The sequence below is a fragment of the Homo sapiens genome, chromosome 6 (assembly GCF_000001405.40).
Source record: "Homo sapiens chromosome 6, GRCh38.p14 Primary Assembly".
Classification (NCBI taxonomy): Eukaryota; Metazoa; Chordata; class Mammalia; order Primates; family Hominidae; genus Homo; species Homo sapiens.
Window position 1 is genome coordinate 84,729,947 of NC_000006.12, and position 21,987 is coordinate 84,751,933.

The 21,987-nt window shown below is 35.8% G+C and overlaps 1 protein-coding gene and 1 pseudogene across 1 annotated transcript in view; one reads left to right on the forward strand and one right to left on the reverse strand.

Annotated features, from left to right (window-relative positions):
* TBX18 (T-box transcription factor 18) overlaps nucleotides 2,550-21,987 on the reverse strand; it is a 32,103-nt gene continuing 12,665 nt past the window's right edge. The window contains exons 5-8 of the mRNA NM_001080508.3: nucleotides 17,974-18,141; nucleotides 14,315-14,379; nucleotides 8,551-8,645; nucleotides 2,550-7,463 (exon numbers count right to left, since the gene is read on the reverse strand). Coding sequence (NP_001073977.1) covers nucleotides 6,739-7,463; nucleotides 8,551-8,645; nucleotides 14,315-14,379; nucleotides 17,974-18,141 — 1,053 coding nt within the window. The 3' untranslated portion in view covers nucleotides 2,550-6,738. The remainder of the gene's footprint in view (nucleotides 7,464-8,550; nucleotides 8,646-14,314; nucleotides 14,380-17,973; nucleotides 18,142-21,987) is intronic.
* Nucleotides 16,771-16,828, forward strand: LOC124901519 (uncharacterized; annotated as a pseudogene).

Sequence of the window (21,987 nt, forward strand, 5' to 3'; positions counted from 1 at the left end):
CCAAGGCAATGGACTACTAGGGCTTTGTACACTACTTGATAGAAGTGCCATTTTTTTTTTTTTTTTTTTTGAGATGGAGTTTTGCTCTTGTAGCCCAGGCTGGAGTGCAATAGCACGATCTCGGCTCACTGCAACCTCCGCCTCCTGGGTTGAAGCGATTCTCCTGCCTCAGCCTCCTGAGTAGCTGGGATTACAGGCTTGTGCCACAATGCCCGGCTAATTTTTGTATTTTTAGTAGAGATGGGGTTTCACCATGTTGGCCAGGCTAGCCTCTAACTCCTGACCTCAGGTGATCCACCCACCTCGGCCTCCCAAAGTGATGGGATTACAGGCGTGAGCCACCGTGCCTGGAGATAGAAGTGCTTTTTAAGATTCTCTTTATTATTGTTGAGTGAGAGCTTCAATTGTTTGAAAAACATATGGTTCAACAAATTTTCCCTTGAAATTCATTTAGGCAAATTAAGAAAAAGGAATCTGCAAATCTCTGCAATCCATTTCACCAAATACCTTTAAGAAAAATGTACAGGAATTTTCCCAAGCCCTAAACAAGCACGGTTTTCACTTCCTGCTATTAATAGAGAAATATCTTATTACAGTGCTGTAAACAGCCAAATTCAAAAAAATGAATTTTAAACGATGTTAGGGTTTCCAAAGAAAACCACAAAACAAACTCAGAGTTAAGGTGGTAATGCATCCCTGTTGTACCCTGGCACAGAAGCAAACATTTTGCAGTGACCATCTGGGATATGTAACATAGTAATAAGGGCGAGGGCACCAACTCATAGAAAAGCCAAGAGGCAATAATTTTTTTTTCCTGCCAACTGTGATATATTGCAGTATGAATATATATATATATATATATATATATATATATATATGTATATATATACATTTCTTTGCCAGCAAATCAGCTTTTACAAGATGTTTGGTTATACCAACAGTGTTCTTCACTATTGTATCCCAAATGACTAAAATGATGCCAAGGAAATGGTCAATACTTAATATTTATTAATTTAATAAATATTGAAATTGCCTACCATTTCTTATGGTAATAAAATGTTTCTGATGGCTTTGGAATCCTTCTGTCTTCCTTTAAGATACTGAAGGAATCATTTATTTCTCCAAGACTATCCAGGTGTGTTGGGAAGAGGGGTAATTTATCAAGTACTATTAAATTTATACACCTGAAAAGCACCTTCAAAATACATTTATATTACTACTACTACTACTACTACTACTACTACTAGGAATGTCAAAAGGCTGATTGAAAGAGCTCATCAAAATGCTTTGGTCCTCACACCAAAGACATAAACAACAAAATTTAAAAAAAAAAATAGATAAATTGGACCTCTTCAAAATTAAAAGCTTCTGTGCTGCAAAAGACATAATCAATACAACTAAAAGACAGCTCAAAGAATGGGAGAAAATATTTGCAAATCATATATCTGATAAGAAGCTTATATCTAGAATATATAAAGAATTATTACACCTCAATAATAAAAAGACAACCCGATTAAAGAATGGTCAAAGGATCTATATAGATATTTCTCCAAAGAAGATACACAAATGGCCAATAAAGCACAGAAAAATAAGTTCAATGTCATGAGTCATCAGGGAAATGCAAATAAAAACAACGAGACATCACACCCACTAGGCTGGCTGTAATAAAAGACTGATAATAACAACCGTCAGTGCAGATGTGGGGAAACTAGAACCCTCACACATTGCTGGTAAGCATGCAAAATGGTGCAAGTGCTTTGAAAAACAGTCTGGTGGTTCCTCAAAAGGTGACCTCAGAACCTTCCAATTCCACTGCTATATAGCCAAGAGAAATCAAAGTGTATGTATGTCTATACAATAACTTGTACATAAATTTTTATAGCAGCATTATTCATAACAGCTAAAAAGTGGAAACAACCCAAGTGTCCATCAACTAATGAAGATATAAACAAATTGTGGTAAATTGACACAACAAAATATTATTCAGCACTAAAAAGGAATGAAATATTAATACATGCCACAACATGAATGAACCTTGAAAACATTATGCTAAGTGAAAGAAGTCAGTGCCAAAGACCACATATTGTATAGTTCCCTTGACATAGATGTCCAGAACAGGCAAATCTATAAAGACAGAAAGCAGATCAGTGGTTGTCTAGGACTTGGTGATAAGGAAGGAATGGAGGGAAAAGGAAGATGACTAATAATGGGCATGGAGTTTTTTTGCAGTGATAAAAATGTTCTAAAATTGATTGTGGTGATAGTTACACAACTCTGTGAACATATTTAAAACCACTGAATTGTTCAATTTAAATAGATGAATTATATGGCATGTTAATTGTATCTCAATATAGGTGTTATTTAGAAAAATCTCGTCTTTTTATTAAGTAATTCTAGTGATGTAATTAATATGATTTAAAAATATGGATATAGGATGTGTGTGTTGATTCAGCCTTGTATAAACTCAGTGAACTGCAGAGTAATAAACTGCCTCATATTATTGTATCTGAGTCTCAGTAGGAATAAAATTATTCAAAAAGACACAATTGTTTTCTCGAGGATTTAAATGTATTTTGAATGGACTTGGAATGATCTCCATATATTATAATAGACTGCTATACTTATTTCAAAACAAAATAATTTAATGCCATGCAATTAAGAGCATCATGAAAAAGAAATTTTATTAATGTCTTTTACTATTCACTATAAAGTAGCAAATACGTTACTAAGTATAGCTTCCTTCTGATATTAAAATACTAAAATTTATCCTGTAAAACTAAAGCACAGTTCCATTTAAAGGATAAATTTCACATAATTCAACAAGTTGAAAATAATACTGATAGTGTTATATTCTTTGTAAAGCCACAGATACAGTATATATATATATATATCCAAAAATAAACAGAATATATTCCAAAAGATATAATAGTTTTATAAAACTAGTTTCCCAATATTAAGCTAAATATTTATATAATAGGACCATATGAATTGGAAACTAAAAGGAATACTAACAATTATCATCCCAGCCATTCCTTTCACACATAGCAAAACTGAGACATAAAGCAGCTAATTTTTTTACCCAAAATCATGATTGAGAAATCCATAGTCTCAAACTAAGTTCTCTAATTCCCGAGGACATGTTATTCTCATCATACCACAGTTCAATGAAAAGAAAGCACATTATTTGAAAATATATCAGCATGTAGAGGGATACTAAGTTTATATATCTGTTGAATGTTTGTATACTTGAATATATTTGTCGATTTCTAGCACTGATAATTTTTAAGGTTTGAACTCTTAGAATGCTGTAATCATGTATGAGTACTTAACTGCTCATATATTTAACCTTACTCTCAACTTATCTGAGCATTTCTTTTTAGAAAGGATGAACAATGAGATTAAAACACAACATGGTAATAATTTAATACAATTAGTTCTTAAGGGAAAGCTTAGAAAAAACTTCATGTAGATGAGCCAATAAATTTCTCATGAGGAAATAACACTGTGTTACACTTTGCAACAAAGGAATCTTTACAAACCTCTCTAATTAGAGACAGCATCAGGGTAGGTAGCATCCACCACCTCTACCAAGGTTCCTGAAAGAAGTTTATGAAATGATTATTTTTAATGCTCTGCACCAGGACTTCATGGGACACTGCAGAGTTTAGTTAGGGATCTCTCTTCTTGCACCTTCTCCTTCCCATACAAATCTTCCCAGAATTGTCCTGCTACAAAAATTACTTTTTCCTCTAAGTCAAACCTCCAGCTATCTCCAAAGCTGCTGTTTATTAATTTCACACTAAGGTGTGAGTTACTGGTAGGATTAAGTCTGGAGGGGTAATGAAGAGCTATTTACATTTTAAAAGTGAGATTCTTTTTCCTCAAAATTTTGCTAATTGATGTAAAGAGTGAGTATGATCCTTCCTTATATAGGTTACACTGTGCCCCAACCTTCTCTGGGGGCCACCAAGGATTCCTGACCCCTTACATTCCAGAAATCAAGGGTCAGCAACTGGGTGCCTCACTTGTGAAAAGCTGTTGACCTCTGGAAGGCAGCTTGTAAGGAAGCAAGTGTTAATTTTCAAAATGTGACTGGTCTTGATAGCAGCAACCTCACCCCATCGCGATGTCCCTTGGAATGTTTACTAGTCAAGGGGCATAGAAGTAATCTGTCATCACTAGTCAGTGGTGCAAGCCACTCATTCTTGTAACCTTGCCTTTCTCCCCTGGACCCAAAACAAAACATACCACCCCATCCCTTTCCTCTCACATTCAAATTTTCATGTGTTCAACATTTGTCAGGGCCTTCACCTTCAATGACATGGTCAACACACCAAGAAATTACATTTAACACATGAAACATGAACAGCAGGCCCATTTCTTTCTGCCATGTATTTGAGAGGTACAGAATTTGCGTTTGGGGTGTGCATGTGTGTGCTTATTCTTGGATCAATATTTTTAGACATTAAAATGATTACCCTCCAAAATCATAAAAGGGTTTAATAACATATTTTAATATAATTTTAAGTACTTTTTAATAAAATACAGATATATAATTATCAATGTATGCATGTCATTTAATTCAGCAATAAAAGGCTAGTCTCTGAAGTGACGTGGTGATTAATATTTACAGTAAAACCTAAAAAAAGCATTTGTACAATATTGCTAAAATTTTACCAGAAAAAAGATTAATAAAAAATTATACTCATATTGTGGTATCATCTGAAATGATCAACGGCAAGAAGGAAAATGCTCTTATTAATACATATGGGTATAGAGCATTACTTTCCATGTTTTTTCAAGATGGAAAACTCTCTGTTCTTGAATTATACACCAAGCACTATTGGCTGAGATGGACTCATTCTTAACACCTTTCCCCAAATCTTTGTCAAGCTATTAATGCCATACCCAAACATCTTACATAGATCCACCTACTGCAAATATTTCATGTCCCTTCATGCTAGTTTTAAATTTAAAAATTTAATACTAATTTGATGAACTGCTAAGGAATCCAAAAGGAAATTTGTTAATATGTATAAACAGAGTCACATCCTGTGCAAATTCAACAGTATATCTCCCTAAGTATCTAACAAATTGTGTTGTTTCAAAGTGAAACAGCAAATCAGGAGTTGTACCCTTTCCCCACCAAATCCAGGGATGAGTTAAAGCAACTCTTTTTAGCAATGAGAGAAAATCATGCTCTTTTGCTTAAGATACATGAAATGTAATGAATGGGTCAATGCACAGACATGTTATTTCGCTTTCTCCTCAGAAGGGGAATGTGCCTCATCATGTATTCTTAGCCTTTTTTATTTATCTCATACTGTGCTCTCAAAGTTACTTGTTTTTAACTCTTCAACCATGCATATATTATTTTAGGAATTAAAAAATTTAATACTGATTTTAATTTCTCCAGTTCTGACATTACAAATTCTGTTGAGGTTAAAAGTTTTATAGTTCCTTTATCATAATTAGTATCTTCCTTCTTAGTCCTCCAAGAGGGTCTTTATAGTAATGGGCTTTGGCCTTTGCACTATAGCTCCCAAAAGACAGATTGCTGGAGATAACCTACTGAAATTCCTCACCGTGTTATTTAACACCATACAGGCCTAGGAACTATCTGTTTTGGGAAAGACTCAGGCAGACGGACAAGGTTAAGAAGGGGAAAAGGGTTCAATGTGTAGGAATTACAAGATATAAATAAGTAGCATAAATGCATTTTTTTTACTTATATACTATCGGTCAGGAAGCTCAGAGCAAGATGGAAAAAATATTCTAAATTTAAAAACAAACTATACAAAAACATAAGGTATAGTTAACAATAGTATTACTCTTGATTTAAAAGATAGACATTTCTCATTGGAATCAATGAATTTGAGGTGGATTTATTTTCCTTTTGCCATTCCACTCATATCACATATTCCTCCCCTGGTGAAAATTGGAATTTAAAAATGTTTATAGAACATTCTTTAATGGTCTATTTGATATATAAAATAAGCAAAAAATCGAAAATACTGGAAATTTGTTCTCTACAGATGAATAAGAACCTCTTATGTGCCCAATGGAAAGTGTAAAAAAAAAAATCACAAGCCTCTCCTTTACCTTCCTTAAGAAAATAACAATTATTATGGGTTATGATTTTTTTATAGACCCAAGGTCATATAGTATGTGTGGTAAATAATAAGCAGGAATGAAAAAGCTGATCCTTCATGATTACAAATACCTCAGGACTAACACTAAGACTTCAACTGGCTTTTGTATTTTAGATTCTCACACTGTGTCCAAGAATAACAGAAATCACAAGACTCTACATGCTGGTTACTGCTGGTTATCAATACATCAAGTATGAAACCGTTTAGAGCATTTTTCTGATAAATTAAGTTATAAGTGTTCTTCTGGATAGTATAATTGCCAAGTTTTAAGTTTACCATCTTGTTTTTAAAAGAGTCTGAGAACTTTGCTTAAACATACTACACGCATGCCAATACTCCGTGCAACTGGATGAAACAGGGGAACAATAGGGGCCGTGATACTCCATGTGCTATGTATATACAGCATACATATATACCATAGATAATTACAATCTCACCATGATAAAGTCAAAAAACCCAGTGAGCCTTCATTTTCTATTATATGTACATTTTATAAACCACAGAGAGTTTCTTTCCACATAGCTTTTAAAAAAGAAAAAGAAAATATGTTAGACAGATCCAAATGTCATTTAACTTAAAGGCTTCATCAGACCATATGTGCAGATACTTGAGATGATGACAGAGTTAAGCTTCCTAGGGTCCTAGAGTCAAAGAAACTCTGCTGACCCCCACTGCTAAGCAGGTGCACTCCTTCCACAGGGGGCAACATCTGCCGATCCGTCATGGTCCCACTCGGTGAGGACCCCAAGAAACTTCCTTGGGAAGAAACAATTTTCTCAGGACTGGCAGCCAGTTTGGGGGATGTGGAGAAGTTATATCCATATAGTGCACAGGGGCTGTGTAATCTAAAAGTATTATAGGAACCCTGATGGGTCTGGTTAGTGGCGAAGGCATTGCTGGAGGGTGATGGCATGATATACTGGAGCTGGGGGGACATTCCCGAAATCTGCATGGATAAGCTGGTCTGTGGGCAGCTGAAGGTGTCCCCATCAGTGCCACCCATGGACATGTTCACGGAGGTGCTGCTGCTCACGCCCACATAGGAGGGAGTCCTGGGCGGGGCAAAGGTCTCACCAGCCTGGTTGGTGAGCCTGTTGTAGGTCTCTGCCAAAGATGTGCTGTATCGGTTGAGGGTGAGGCCTGAGCGGGCACAGGCAGAATAGTCAGCAGGGGCCAGACTACACAGCTGGCTGGTGTTGGGCCCCAGATGGAAGGCAGGAGAGGAGCAAGAGGAGCCAGACAAAAGGTGAGGGTGAGTGGCAGGAACGCCATTCCCAGTACCTTGGAGCAAGGTGGAGGAACTTGCATTGCCTACAAAAGAAGTTGAAATGTAAAGAATGACTCCACAGTCATCCTTTCCTTTCAATTTTGTAAATATGAGCTAGACACAGCTTGTTACAAGGCAAGGGTTGGAGGAATGCTACAGAGATGAAAAGGAGATGGTCTCAGCTTTCAAGGAATTATCTGGTTGAAAAATCTCATTTCCAATTAGAAAACAAGTTGTTGAATCACATGCTAATACAAGAGCAGAGGTCCAACAAATCAACAGTCCTGTGAAACTTAGAGAGGGTAGTTAACCCTGTGTCCAACCAATGGCAGTGATGGTGCCCCCTCTGGATCTGCTGGCAGACTGATGTTTGCAAACTTGACAGAACTTAAGGGGAGAGGAGAATTCCAAAGGGCTGGACAGGTTGTAAAACCTTCATTGCTGTATTGATGGTGTTTTATATAGTGTCTCAAAATAATCCAAAAGCCCAATCCAACCAATAATAATTATCTGAAACCCAGCATAGCAAATTCTCACTGGAATCTGGGCAGGATGATGGTAAAAAGCCTGAATGTAGAAGTGAGCTGAGAGTGTTACCTATGGAGCAGACCAGAGAGGAAGCAACATCGCTTTCCATGCAGTTCCCTCTGAGAAGAAATCAGCCCTGGGCTGCTGAGAAATATTCAGAGATGAGCCCAGGAGGGTCTGCCTGAATGTGCCTGACCTTCCTCATCGTTAACCCAACAGGAGAACCCTACCCAGAGGCAATTCTGCTGAAGAAAGAAAACAAACAAGATCTGAAGAAAGGGTGGACTGGGGGCACCATCAACAATTTCTTGTGAACAGGACCTGGCATCAGAGCACCTCTAATTTTAATACGAGATTTAAGGATGAGGTAAAGGTCATGAAATATACAAACAGCCTAAGACATCTAAGATTTAATCTGTGACCATGAGAGCCGTTTTTTCCTGATCCATCCCCATACCATGCAGAAGACAGATGGAATCTGTAGGACAATGCTGGTGATGAGGTCATTATTGTAAGTATAAATAATGACTTGTACACTTTTAGTGCCTGAGTTTCTAGGCAGGAACGGGCTGTATATATGACCCAGGAGACTTTGTGAGTTACCTTGCTTGGGAATTCCAGGGATATCTTCAAAGGTCAGAGTCCGTAGTGATGGTCGCCAGAATGCATATGATTCCACCAAGGCTTCCAAACCCATTCTAAATGGAAAGGGTCAGGATAGGGGTGGACAAAAGAAGTCTAGTTAGGAGCATTTGGATCTTTCACCAGCAGCAAGCATCTCAAAACAACACTGATATTGACAGTACCCCCACACTGTCCAGTTAGGATCTTGCCACTGGCAAGAAGAAATGCTTCAGCAATGGGCTAACATCCTGTTACCAGCAGCAGGAGAGAACTGAAATCACCCACCCAAGATGCCTGTTAATGTTCTCAGGAAAACTCAGCTGACCTGAAGGGTGAAAAGCTGTTCCCTTGGGCTAAGGAGCTGAGATGAAGAGAGTCCCTCCTGGCTGCTGTGAGTCCAAGGCTCTGCTGTGATCTGGAACACACCCACTCTCCTTGTCCTGTTACTTCTCCCTCTAAGTGAGGAAGGCATTGCCACAAAAGCACATTCCTAGAAAACCAGCTCTTTTCTAAGGGTCATTACTGCCCATCATTTGGTGCCTCAGCAGCCAGCTCAGGGAAGCACTCCTCCAAAGAAGACTGACTTCTCTCTCAGGAGCACAATCTCTACTACACCCAGTGTAGCCAGGCTGGGCTCCCACCAGCAACAGGAGGGCCATGAAGAAACAGCACTGGCCTCTCCCTGCAGTGTGTGGGAGGAGAGCAGGAAGGTGACCTCACAGGGCTATCTAGTATATAGAGTTACTATTAAATCACAAATTATTTTAAAACCCTGAAATACACTTAATGAATGGATACTTAAAGAGACAGGGTAAGTTTCATATGGACTACTTACATGACATACGTATATTTTAAAACAAGGGCAACTACTCTAAATACATATATCAACCATCTCCTACCATGAATGATTCAGAGACTTCCCCTCTGTATATCAAGTGACTAAGTCCTCTGGGTTCTGGGAATGAGGCCATTCACTCAACTAGATCATTCTCAAGACAGCCACACCTGAGACCTCATCACTCTTCCTTCAACCACCTCAGCCCTAAGTAATTTGTTGATCTAGGTAACATTACACTTTTAATGAAACCTGTAGCTCCACTGTAGAAAATACTTGCTTCCTGGGATATCCAATAATAGACATCTCCTTTAATAGTTTGACTCAAGGTGCTACCACCTCTGGAGTCCCTGCGCCCCAAGTCATAACCTGCAAACTAAGACTAGAGGAATCCACCCCAGAGAGTCATACCACATACACAATATGGTGAAAGCTCTCTAAACACCAGAGGTAAGTGATTTGTGCCAATAAAACTATCTTACACTACTTGTCCATCTGTTCCAAGGCTTCACACACAGAATTTACTTCCTTAGAGTGTTCAGGGTATAGTCTCTGTTAATTGATTTCTGTACTCATTCTGGAGGAATACGCCTACCCCATCTTAGTGACAGAATGATGTAGCTATGCATGTGTGGAGGGGTGGTGTGTATACATGCACAGGCTTGCATGCACAAACACACCTCATGAGGCTGCACATAAGCCTGACTCATCTCTTAAGTCACAGGCTCTGGGGGTGCAGCTCTGAGGGCACTTCAAAGAGATGTCTGCAGCCCCAGAGGGGATAGTGCAGGATTGCCAAAGAAAAGAGCAGAGCACAGAGGGGACCTGCACCTGCTCCACCTGGCCTACCCTGAGAGAGAACAGAATCTGGCTTCAGATGTAATCAATGTGCCACAGAGAGAGAATTATTTAGTGGTAAGGATACTAGATTGGGGTCAGAAAGACTGCACTGGCACTGCAACTCACTAAAACTCATTGTCTGACCTTAAGCAAATTTGCTAATCTCCCTGGACTTCAGTTTCTCACAAAGAAAGGATGAGATTACAAAAGGTCTGAAACCCTTATTAATCCTAACATTGTTTCATTCTAAGAGATTTTTTTTCCAAACCAGTCATCATATCTGTGGCCAAACTACAAGCCAAATCCAAGTTCATGCCACTTGATAGTATTTTCTGTACTAGTGTATTGATTTCTGGGCAGTTTGGCAGACCTGGTCAGTTCCAAACCACATGTTGCCTGTGGGTATGTTTAACACTGGACTAATGAACTCTGGGTCCTGTTTAGCTGATCACCCTCTATTCAATTTATACCAATACTAAATTTTGTGACTTTCCAGAAATACAACGATTTTAAATGCAAAAGAATGTTAAGACACAGCTTAATATAAAACAGCTTCTTATTACCACATAGATGAGTTTAATTGTAGTTTTAAATATTAAAAATACTAAAGTGATTATAGAGCAGTCTTGAGGGAAGTTTACTAAGATAATTAACAAGCAACCACTGGACTTAGAAACTGACTACAGAGATGTATCTTACTGCATTATTTGCTTTAGCAGTGTAAACTTTATTATGATTCAAACACAAATCCATAAACTAAATTCTTAGGGAGAAGTTATTGATCATCACAAATATATAACCCTAAGCTTTAAAGAGATGCTCTGAAGCTGACATATCTACAAGTGATCTGATTTGGAGCAATCGATATTTTTCCTGAGGCTGCTGTTTCACACTACAAGTTCCAGAAAGGATTTTAGATATTTTGCAGGAAACAGTTATAAAATGTTTATTAGCTGAATCTGGACATTTTTTAAAAAGCCTTCATTTTCTCCAGTAATGGAGACCTTTCCTGGCTAGTTAAAGAAAAGATAAAAGGCACCTCCTGCAGGAGTGCAGCCAAGGCGATAATTTATACAAGATGCCTTTGAACAATTTCCACATTTTATCACTGCCCTAATTTATGCTATCAAATGGCCAAGTTTATTTAGTAAAATGGTTATGTTTTTCCTGAAGTATTTAAAGAGAAGAAATTTTTGTACCTTCCTGAGTAAAAAATTTTATAGGGTCAAACCTAAGGCCTAACTGAAGAATGAAACTATTCTCAGCACATAAATTCTCTCTCACATAGCAAATGTCTTGCAGGAGAGCTTTTAAGGGCCGAAGCTACTGATTCCTGTAAAATAGGCTGTGCAGCCATAAATAGCCAGAAAAGGATAATTTTTAATTAAGGCAAATTGTTTCATAAAGTTTAAACAATCACAAGTCTATGTTTATTTCTTGTCCTGGTCAATTTGTATATTTCATGTACAGGGTCGGGGAAATAAAAATAGAATTTGTTTTAAAAACCACTAACAACAGCACAATAGAACCAGGGGTAATAAAGAAATATGTTAAACTTTTTCTCATAGCTTCACTTCTCTACTAATATAATTAAAAAATCATGCCCCTTCATGCCCATGCTCTCCAAACAACCGTGCCCTCCACCAAGTCTTACATATAACTTGGTCTTTTTTAAAGGAAACTAATACACAAGTTAGAAATGCTCACTTATGTAATTCAGGTGACTGAATTATCTCTTCTCCAAATGTGTCTTTTGCATTTGTCAACGGAAAATGTTACAATCAGATTTTTAAATAGAGGAATAATGATTTATAGATATTTAGCATTCCAAAGTGAGAAGTATTAGTAAATAGCTTGTCTATAATAAGCAAGAGAGTTTCAGCAAGGAAAAAAGTTGAAACTGTATTTCACTAGCAAGAAAGCCATATATAGGCTCAATGTGCTTTTCATGTACTATAATATTGTTTAAACACTTGGAACAAAATAAAAATTTTAAATTTTAACAAAATCTTAAAAGCATTAAAACATAATTCACTGTCTTCTGTATGTTCCTCCAAAATTTTTAAAGTTTTAGAGTCAGGGAAGAAATAGTAACAAGCACCATGGATGTCAGGCTTACATACTCCTGAAATAGCCAAAGGGATAGAAAAATCCATATCAAAGCTAGCATTTTGAACTCGCCATATCAAACAATATAGTCCTAGTATTTTATATTCAACAACACCACTGTCATTTTCACTGACCAAATTTAAGTATCCAAATGTATTTTCATTATGCTGAGTATCTAGAATTCTTCCTGAAAACTTGTCATATGTATCTGTCATCTCACTTCTTGTAGAGGTTTCTTCACTATTATCTGTTCAAAATACAAAGTATTTTTCAAATATTTTAAATTTATCCCTTCAAAAATGGACTATATACAAGCATGTGACCCCTGAGTCAGTAGCAGTGAAGACTTTGCTAGAGTAATTGATAGCTTGGATATAGTTGCTAGTTGTATATTCTTCAAGCCTGAGTATTTCTCTCCCGGAATTTCAGTGTTTTAATAAATTCCTTTTCTGGTTAAGAAAAAAAAACTGAAAGTAATACAAGACTCTTAAATGGACAAATACTATTCTGCTATAACAAAAATCACAAAATAATTCCATCAAAGCATTCGCCAAGGTAGAATAGGAGTCATCCCAAAGGTTCTCTTCAGTCACCTCACTAAGTGGCCATCTCCAGTTATTAAATGATGGTTCAATTTGCATTTTAATTTTCAGAAACACCTCTGAAAAACAAGGTTAACCAGGAGCTAATGTAACAAAACAAAAGACAAGCAATTTTTTTCTCTACATTGAAACACACATTTAAAAAACAAAATAATTTCAATACAGCAGACAACTTTCATGTGTTAGGAATATCTGCAAACTTTCCTACAGAGTGAAAAATTTCAGAGGGAAGCCCTGCTATTAGTCTTCCTGATCTACCTGCACTAAGTTGAAGGCTACTCTACTCTCAGTGCATTTTAGCTGCATTTCAGTCCTCATGTTGCGTGGTGTTTCAATGATGCCACTGCATATAACAATGACATCACATCTCTGCAAGAACTTGAGTGTATTCTGAGAAAAGGTCTCTGTCACCCATCTTGTTCAATTAATCAACTGAAAGAACTAAGAATCTGGATTGTTTTCCCTCTAAAATTTCAAATGAAACTGCCTCTAAAATAATTGGGGATTTTCAAGGAGTATTAGAATAATTTCATGAGTAAAGTCATAAAGATTGTTCAAATACTTCTTTTTAAAAACAAGCTGCTTTTAAAAACATTTAAGCAGAAGCCTTACTCTGAAAAGGCATTTGCAGAACTGTAGTCTATTATTACTCTCTATTACTACTTACTAACAGTTACTTTAGAAAATGTTGTACTGAACTATATTGGAGTAGAGTCATATCAATAAATTCAAAAACCCTTTGCCACATAGACTAGGTGATCTGCTTTTTGATAAAAGTAAGAGTGGAATTCATTATTGTGGCTCTACCACTTAGTACAAACACCACAAAACGTGAAACAGAAAAAATAAACAAGTATGTGGCTGTCAGCAGAGCCAAGACAAATTTGGAAACTAAAGAACATCAGCTCTCTTGGCAATGGAGAGTAGTTTCATATTCCAGCTGGAAATATGACTTAACGAAAGACCCTATCGTACTCCACAGACAATATCAATAGATAGTCGCATCATCACTAAAGAAATTCTAAACCAATAGTAGAGGCAGAGAGGATATTTAATTAGGATACTGAAGCCTCTGTGCCTGTAAGGGCAGGTTTCTTCAAGGCCCCTTCAGAAACAGCATGCAGTGTACATCCTGAGAGCTTCGATTTTCAGCTCAGCAGCGCACATGAACATTCACCTTAGGGTAGGTGACACCATTACACTACAAAAATAAGTTATCTCCGAGGCACAACAGTCCTCATCAGAAATGATTTCAATATCGTATTAGTAAATTTAGCCATTTACTTTGTAATAGAAAATTCATAATAAAATATCAAATATATTTATCATAACCGGAATGGTCTTCACTAAGGCCCACCTGTTGCGCCCGGAGTCTCGGAAGCCTTTAGCAAATGGATTCCTATCTATCTTCAGGCGAGTAATCTGCAGAGTAGGAAAAAAAAATATCAAATCTTATATAAATGTCAAGCAAGTTTTTACTTGGTTGCAAAACTACAATGAGTCAAAAGTTAACTGTTAGAGGACTCTATTGTATAAGCCTCTTTTATTCCCCAAGTATTTTAATATCCTAGCAGTAAAGCTAAGGAAAATTTCAGAAATCATCTAGAACATTCATCTGCTCTAAAAAAGATACTTCACTCCTTTTCAATCTGCATTAATAGATATAAGTTAGTTTTGTTTTTTAATATTTCTGGAAAAAAAGATTCTGAATCATCTGTTGGTAACGTGCCCTATAATTGACAATTCCCTCTGAACTGAAGTTCTTCCCTTTAACTCTGAGATGTGGTTTAATCCTGTTTCTATCTCAATAAAGCTAATGAGGAATAACTCGTATCCAACTTCTATTTAACAGCCATTTAAATGTTGTTAAGCTCCTACAGAGCTTTCTCTTCTTTAAAATTAGGTAATAATGTACACATTCCTTTAATTTTCTGTCTCTGTATTTTTCTTTGTCTCTCCTTTAATATTCTTTGTGGCTTTTATCTGAAAGTTTTATTCTTTTATCTGTGGAGTCCTAACCTGGTCAGAGCACTACAGTGAATGTCTAACCAGAGGTAACCACTACTTGAAGGTTCTAATGAATCAAATCTCATACTAAATGGAGTAAAAATAAATGATGCTTTCACTTTAACTTTCTTTCAAAATAAATTGTATTGTGTTATATGGAGGTACACAACATACTATGAAATATGTATAGGTAGTAAAATGGTTCCTATATATGATGTTTTAGTTTTAACAAGAATTCTAATTTGTTGACTCATAACCAACTTTTTGCTCACTAAGACACCAAGATTAAGGGGGAAATTTTTTACAAATGGTTTAATTATCTCCATTAATAGTTTTTTTAGTTATGCCATCCTGAACTTGACACTAATAAATACCATCCCATCTGCTTATTACCAGATCTCCACTTTGCCCAGAGGAATTTACAGCCTATTTTCTAAGAGACACATCATGTTTTGGCTTCTAAATTCCTGGGCTTAATGAACTCTACAAAGTTAATGAACATACTTCTAATTACACCATCTTGGCTAAGGACAAAAACTGTTAAATAAAAGTCATCTGCAGTCCCCCTACATTGCTTGTGCACGCCCTCCAGTCAGCCACGCAACACTTAAGACATATGTGTTCCATATGATGTTATCTTAGTATGTGGATAAAACTATATTATAAATGATATAATGAAAGGGTTTGCTAATTAAGTCATCATGTCTGCCACTCTGTCATTGAAGGAATTCTTCTTTACAGATCAATATAGCTCAATTTTCTGTCTATTTTAATAATGTTTAAAAACATTAAGCAATGTAAATGTTCATTTAAAATGTTGTTTTTTAAAAAGTACAGATTTATATAATGGTGCCTTGTTAAAACAGAGACATAACACAATTGCTACTATCATCATTTTTATTACTAACATATGTATTGAGTGCATAAAATGTACACTGTGCTAAGTTTTCGGCATACTACTCATTTAATTACTAGAGCAACTTATGTATAGCTATTATCTCAGTTTTGTGTTTTATTTTAAACTGAAGCTTAAGTAAGCCAGGACCACAGGCTGCAGAGCTCATGCTATTAACCACTAATCTGCTAACAATGTTCCGTTAAGTTCTTAAAAATAGTAGCCAGGAAACTAAAAAGTAAATGTGACTGCATGTTATCATTATCAATTTCTCCTCTAATCTGTCCATCATCTTAATCAACTTCTCAATGTTCACTAATTTGTGTTAGTCACAACATGTACCAAAAGCTGACTGCATTGCACTTACTGTACCACAGAGGGTGGAAGAAAATATGCAAAGTGCACAGTTAATTTGTGTGTGAGAGAGAGACAAAAAGAGAGGAAGAGAGACAGAAAGAGGTGACGAATTGAGATTGTTAAAAGAATACTAAATGCCTCTGCTATTTTCTCATGTATTACTTTTTCTCCCAAAAAATCGTTTTCTGTCCCTAATATATTTTAATACATTAAATATATAATTATATCTCATAATATACTAAATATAATTATATTAAGTATATTATAATTATATATTATATAATATTTCGTATATTATATATTATTGTACAGTATATTATACTATTTATATATTTATATTGATATTTATAATTTTAATATATTTGATATATTAAAATCATAAATACATTTATTTATAATTATATACATTATAAATATATTTTATATAATGTATATATCTTATATATTTATTATATTAAATATATTAAAATTATAAATACATTATAATTATGTACTATATTACACATATTACATATGTTATATATAATACGTTAAATATGCTATATTAAATATGTTTGCTTCAGCAGCACATATACTAAAATTGAAACAATACAGAGAAGATTAGCATGGTCCTATTATTATTAGCATGGTCCTATATTATATCTATTAGCATAGATAATAAATAAATTATATTATTAGCATGGTCCTATATTATATCTATTAGCATAGATAATAAATATATTATCTATGGATCTTTTAAAAATTACATTTCATGTTCCTTCCTAAAAGCTTATAAAAGAGTGGCAACATGAGTGTGAGAGGACAGGACAGCTTCGGTTGTGATACTGATGTCTCCATACGGATAAGAGCTATTGAGCCTCTCAGCCCAAAGAACACATGGGATAGGATCCAAATCTTCTAAGAAGCTTTATAACAACAGAAACCACAACAGAGAGATTTAAAAGCCTTAAATTTGTAATTGAAATGTATATAAATGTAAAGAGAAATGGAGACCCAGAACAATTCTGCTGACCACTGAAATTGAAAAAAAAAAAAATCTACCACAGGCCACATCGGCTTATATTACATGGATATTTCTTATGAAAACCAGCTGGAATTCCAGCATGGATTACATATTGCCTCTGATTCAATTCTCTACCTAACTGACACATATAAACATAGCCTTAGAGAAATATATACATTTACCCATATAGAAAGGAAATATTTCACTTCTCACACTATTTCTAACTTTATGAAATAAGTATTCTACCATTGCTGATCTCTCAGACTATAAGCAAGTTTATCATCCTCTATCACAATTAAAGCATATCTTGAAAGAAATAGCCCTTTTGTATATGTACCAAAATGACTATACAGGATAAATGTTTCTGAACTATTTTTAGAATGTAGTTTAAAAATAAAGTAAGCTATCAAGTCCCATGCTCTATGATACAATTCATTTTTAATATTCTACATGTCTATTTTTTAGGCAATAAAAATACATTCTAATTTTAATTAAGATATAATTCAAAAGCTCAAAATGGAAAGTAAACCTACACTGTCAGTCACAAGACATGGTTTGTCTAAAGAAATCAACATTAGAGCAGACTTACTTGGAAAATCATGGATAAAGAACTGTTATTCATATATATACACTTTGAATGTCATATATGGCAAATGCTTTATAATTCATAATATTTAGAGTGAGAAGGATAGCTAACTTTCTCTCTTCACCTGAAATGAAAAATCTACAAAGATTCCAATTCTGAGAACAATACCTGCTGATTCTGATAGGCAGTGACGGTTGTGAAGACAGTTTCTGGAAAGGAGAATGCCTTTACTCCCTCCCCGGATGGAACAGGCTTGATGGGAGAAAGATCGTCTCCACAGTCTTTACGGATGACGTGCACTCGCGGTTGGTATTTGTGCATAGAATGAAGAATAATCTATATCAAAGAAGGAAAAGCTGAATTTATCAGAAGCCTCTGCCCAACCTCAACAACCTGACTAAATATTTAATGTGTACAATCAATTCTGATTGGAAATCATTTCCAAGGATGCAGAGGTGTCAATTTAATAAGAAATATCAGAACTGGAGAAGGAAGGCTAAGAAGTTGTTTGTAAAATGTACATAAAAATACAAAATAAAAAGCACTATTTTAGTGAAACCCTGTGTACAACCATGTGAACTTAATATCAAATTTTCTGTTGCTAAAAACACAGGAATAAATTAATAAGCATTTTATTTATAATGAGCCCAATGGAACACAGAGTCCAAACCAATAAAATTACAAATGAGACTGAAATCATCATTTAAATTGCACCACACCCATCCCCTAAAAAATAAGTATTCACAGACAAGGTTTTTTTCAGAGGAAATGTTTCCCCAGTTCGTGACTACATATGTCTATTCAAGGGCAAAGGGAATTTTAAGGACACTCCAGCATCTGTTTTTTGTGTGGCTCACAAAGTCTCTGGTTTGCTGGGAGCGCCCAGTGTCTGTGCCTCTATCACAATGAGGCTTCCATTACTCAGACTGCAGAGAACAGAAAAGCTGGCCCTCTCAGATGCTGCTGGGGAAATCTGATAATATGGTTCAACTACCTTCTACCCAATGATTCCACATCTGAGAATTTATCCTAAGGAAATATTACAAATTCAGAAAAGCTTTTCATGTACAAAGACGGGCATCAGATTATTTGTAACAGTAGAAAAACTATAAACCACTTACATATCCAACATGAGTAAATTAGTTAGGTGAATGAAATCCACACAATGAAATACAGCATTATTTTTTACCATATAATGAAATAATACTTTTAAAATCTTAAATTTAAAAAATGACCTAAATTGTTTATAAGCTTGTTAAAACTACATAAAAATAGAGTAAAAATGACCCATAGAAAGATATAAACAGTGATTGCCTCTAGATGATGGAATTGTGAGTGAATTTTGTCTTCTTCTTTGTATGTTCTATGCTTTCAAGGCTGATGGGGTAGGGTGAAGAAACAGCTTCATCCAATGGGATTTTCTGTTTGCTGCTGGGATTCCATATTCAGGTACTCATTAAGGAGTTTCCTTAAGAAACCTGTATCTTTCCTGAGCTATAAGATTTGAATTCAATTTCTGAGCCATTATGAATTTATAGAACAAATGTTTACAGAAAAGTCTTAGGGAAATGTAGTGGTTGGCCTGCCTTGTGTTTATGATGTGGGCAGTTTAATAAGACACATTCAGAATATTTGGTCAGCCCAAACACAGATTGTCCTACATCTGGAAAGTGTGTTTGCTGCCACAAGAAGATTCTTTACTTTCTGGCAGTGCTGTGGCTAAGATTTTTTTTTTCTTTTTTTTTTTTTAACCCTGCAGTTTTCCTTGTATCAGTGAAAGAAATGCCTAGGTAGCACATGATCATGCCAACCAGACACTCTAGGAGAGGAAGCATGAGTGTGAGGAAAGGACAACAGGGGAAAACAGCCCTCATCATCACCTGAGGACACAAGCAAATCTGCAATCTCAGGAAAATTCTCTTTCCAGAATTCTAGAAATTCTGGAAATTTCTCTTTGTTCTATGTAAAGGGAAGAATTTTAATGACCCATTAGTGACTTATGAAATCAACATGAAGGGTTGCAACCAGAAATTTTTTAAATAAATAAAAGTACAAAATAAAGTAGAAAATAAAATATATAACTTGCTGTTAGGTAGAAAGTTTGAAAAACACAGAAGCAACATTTAATTCTAATGGTTCTAATGATCAGCACACTCTAAACAGATTTTTGGTGAATATAGATATTTTTCTCATTTCTTTTGTATATTACCTGAGTAATATGTTCACTAATCCTCATTTAAAAAGGTATAATCAGCCGAGCATGGTGGCTCACGCCTGTAATCCCAGCACTTTGGGAGGCCGAGGTGGGTGGATCACAAGGTCAAGAGATCTAGACCATCCTGGCCAACATGGTGAAACTCTGTCTCTACTAAAAATACAAAAAATTAGCTGGGCGTGGTGGCACATGCCTGTAGTCCCAGCTACTTGGGAAGCTGAGGCAGGAGGATAGCTTGAATCCGGGAGGCGGAGGTTGCAGTGAGCCGAGATCGTGCCACTGCACTCCAGCCTGGTGACAGAGCGAGATTCTATCTCAAAAAAAAAAAAAAAAAAGGCATAATCTAAATCTAAGTTTATGTTCTTGGAAGCACAATATCTCAGCAGGGTTGAAAGATATCTTGCAGACATGTGGACCCAGTAGATATTCTTTTTCAGAACTATATTAGGAAAAAGGAGTAGGCAAGATGGATTCTGAGGTCTATTTACCGCCCTCCAATTAGAGGTGCTTCCCTTCCCTGTTTGATATGCAGGGTTCTGTGTGACATTACATTACATATATTTAAGTCTGAAAAAACTGACATTAATACTCCAATTTATAGATAGAAAACTAAGGTCTACACAAGCAAGAGACTTCTGAATCCTTAAGGCTGAACCTGGAAGCTGGGTCCCTTGGCCCATGCTCGTCCTCCCACCACCACGTTCATGTGCATTCATTATAAATTCGTATTTTTTGGGCAGGCATCATCACAGGGCCAGGTCCAACAAAGGAAACACAAAAAAGGGTCTCAGCCTACAGAAGCAGTTAATTGAGCCCCACCTGGTGTCTCATTAGTTAACATACTCTTTAACACACTCTTTTAATATAAATATAAAGCAGCAAATGACCAATCATATCATAGCAACCATTAATGTTAACTCTGTTTTTCCCCCTCCCTCTTTATTTCTTAATTAATTTATCTCATTAGAAAGTGATATTCACTTGATATTTTGGGGAGCAGGGGAGTTTAAGGGAGAACCCTTCCTCTTCTCCAAGGTAAGAAACAAAATGCCACTGGTAAGCAAACAACAAGGGACAAAACAATGACACTTATAAACTCCCAGGGAGAATTAGCATATCTTTTAGAAACAAATTTCTAAGCAGAAGAAAAATTGGAGAAAAGTTACTTTACATTAAACAAACAAAAATAAATGCATAGCTAATTTCAGAAGATTGGACTGAGTTGTAATTAAAGAAACAAAGATTCATTTGGGTTTCTTTTTACTAGTCAATGAAAAGCAGGTTCTTGTTTTATGAAGACTGTTCTCTCAAGGAGATTTCTCCATATAGTTGTATATATTTTAAGGTTACTTTTCAAAATATCCTTACCATATTTCAAAAAAGACTTCAAGTGGGGTATATTGGAGTAGGATACAGAAATGGCTGATGTATGTCTTTGTTTGCATGTTAAGAAGCAACTATCAATAGTAATCTGAAGATTGCTCAAGAAAAATAATATGTATTCAGTATTATCTATAAGAACTTTATGTATCCCTGGAATGTTTTAGGGATGGAGAAACAAGCCTCAGTTCCTCTTTTTATGATAGCATTATGTGCTTTTTAATGTCTCATGTGGTCATGGGTCCAGTCAAAGCACTGCAAGGATTTCATTCCTGCAATCATTTTGTGTGAAATGAATAAAAGTCTCAGATCTATATGGAGTTCTCAAGTCACCATGCTGCACACTTGCACAGATTTGGCAGAGTAAAAGTAGGAATTGAGGAGAGAAACAAAAGCAATTTAGACAGCAAGCTAGAAAATCATCTCTCATTTGAGTCTACAGCTTTACTAATTAGAGATCAGTGTTAACTTCTTTTGGAATTGGGGGCTCTGAGGTGGGCAGGGGCACAGGGGATGAACCATTTGATTATTAACTACCAAACTTACAATCATGAATGCTCAATAAAAGTTTGCTTATTTAATAGAGC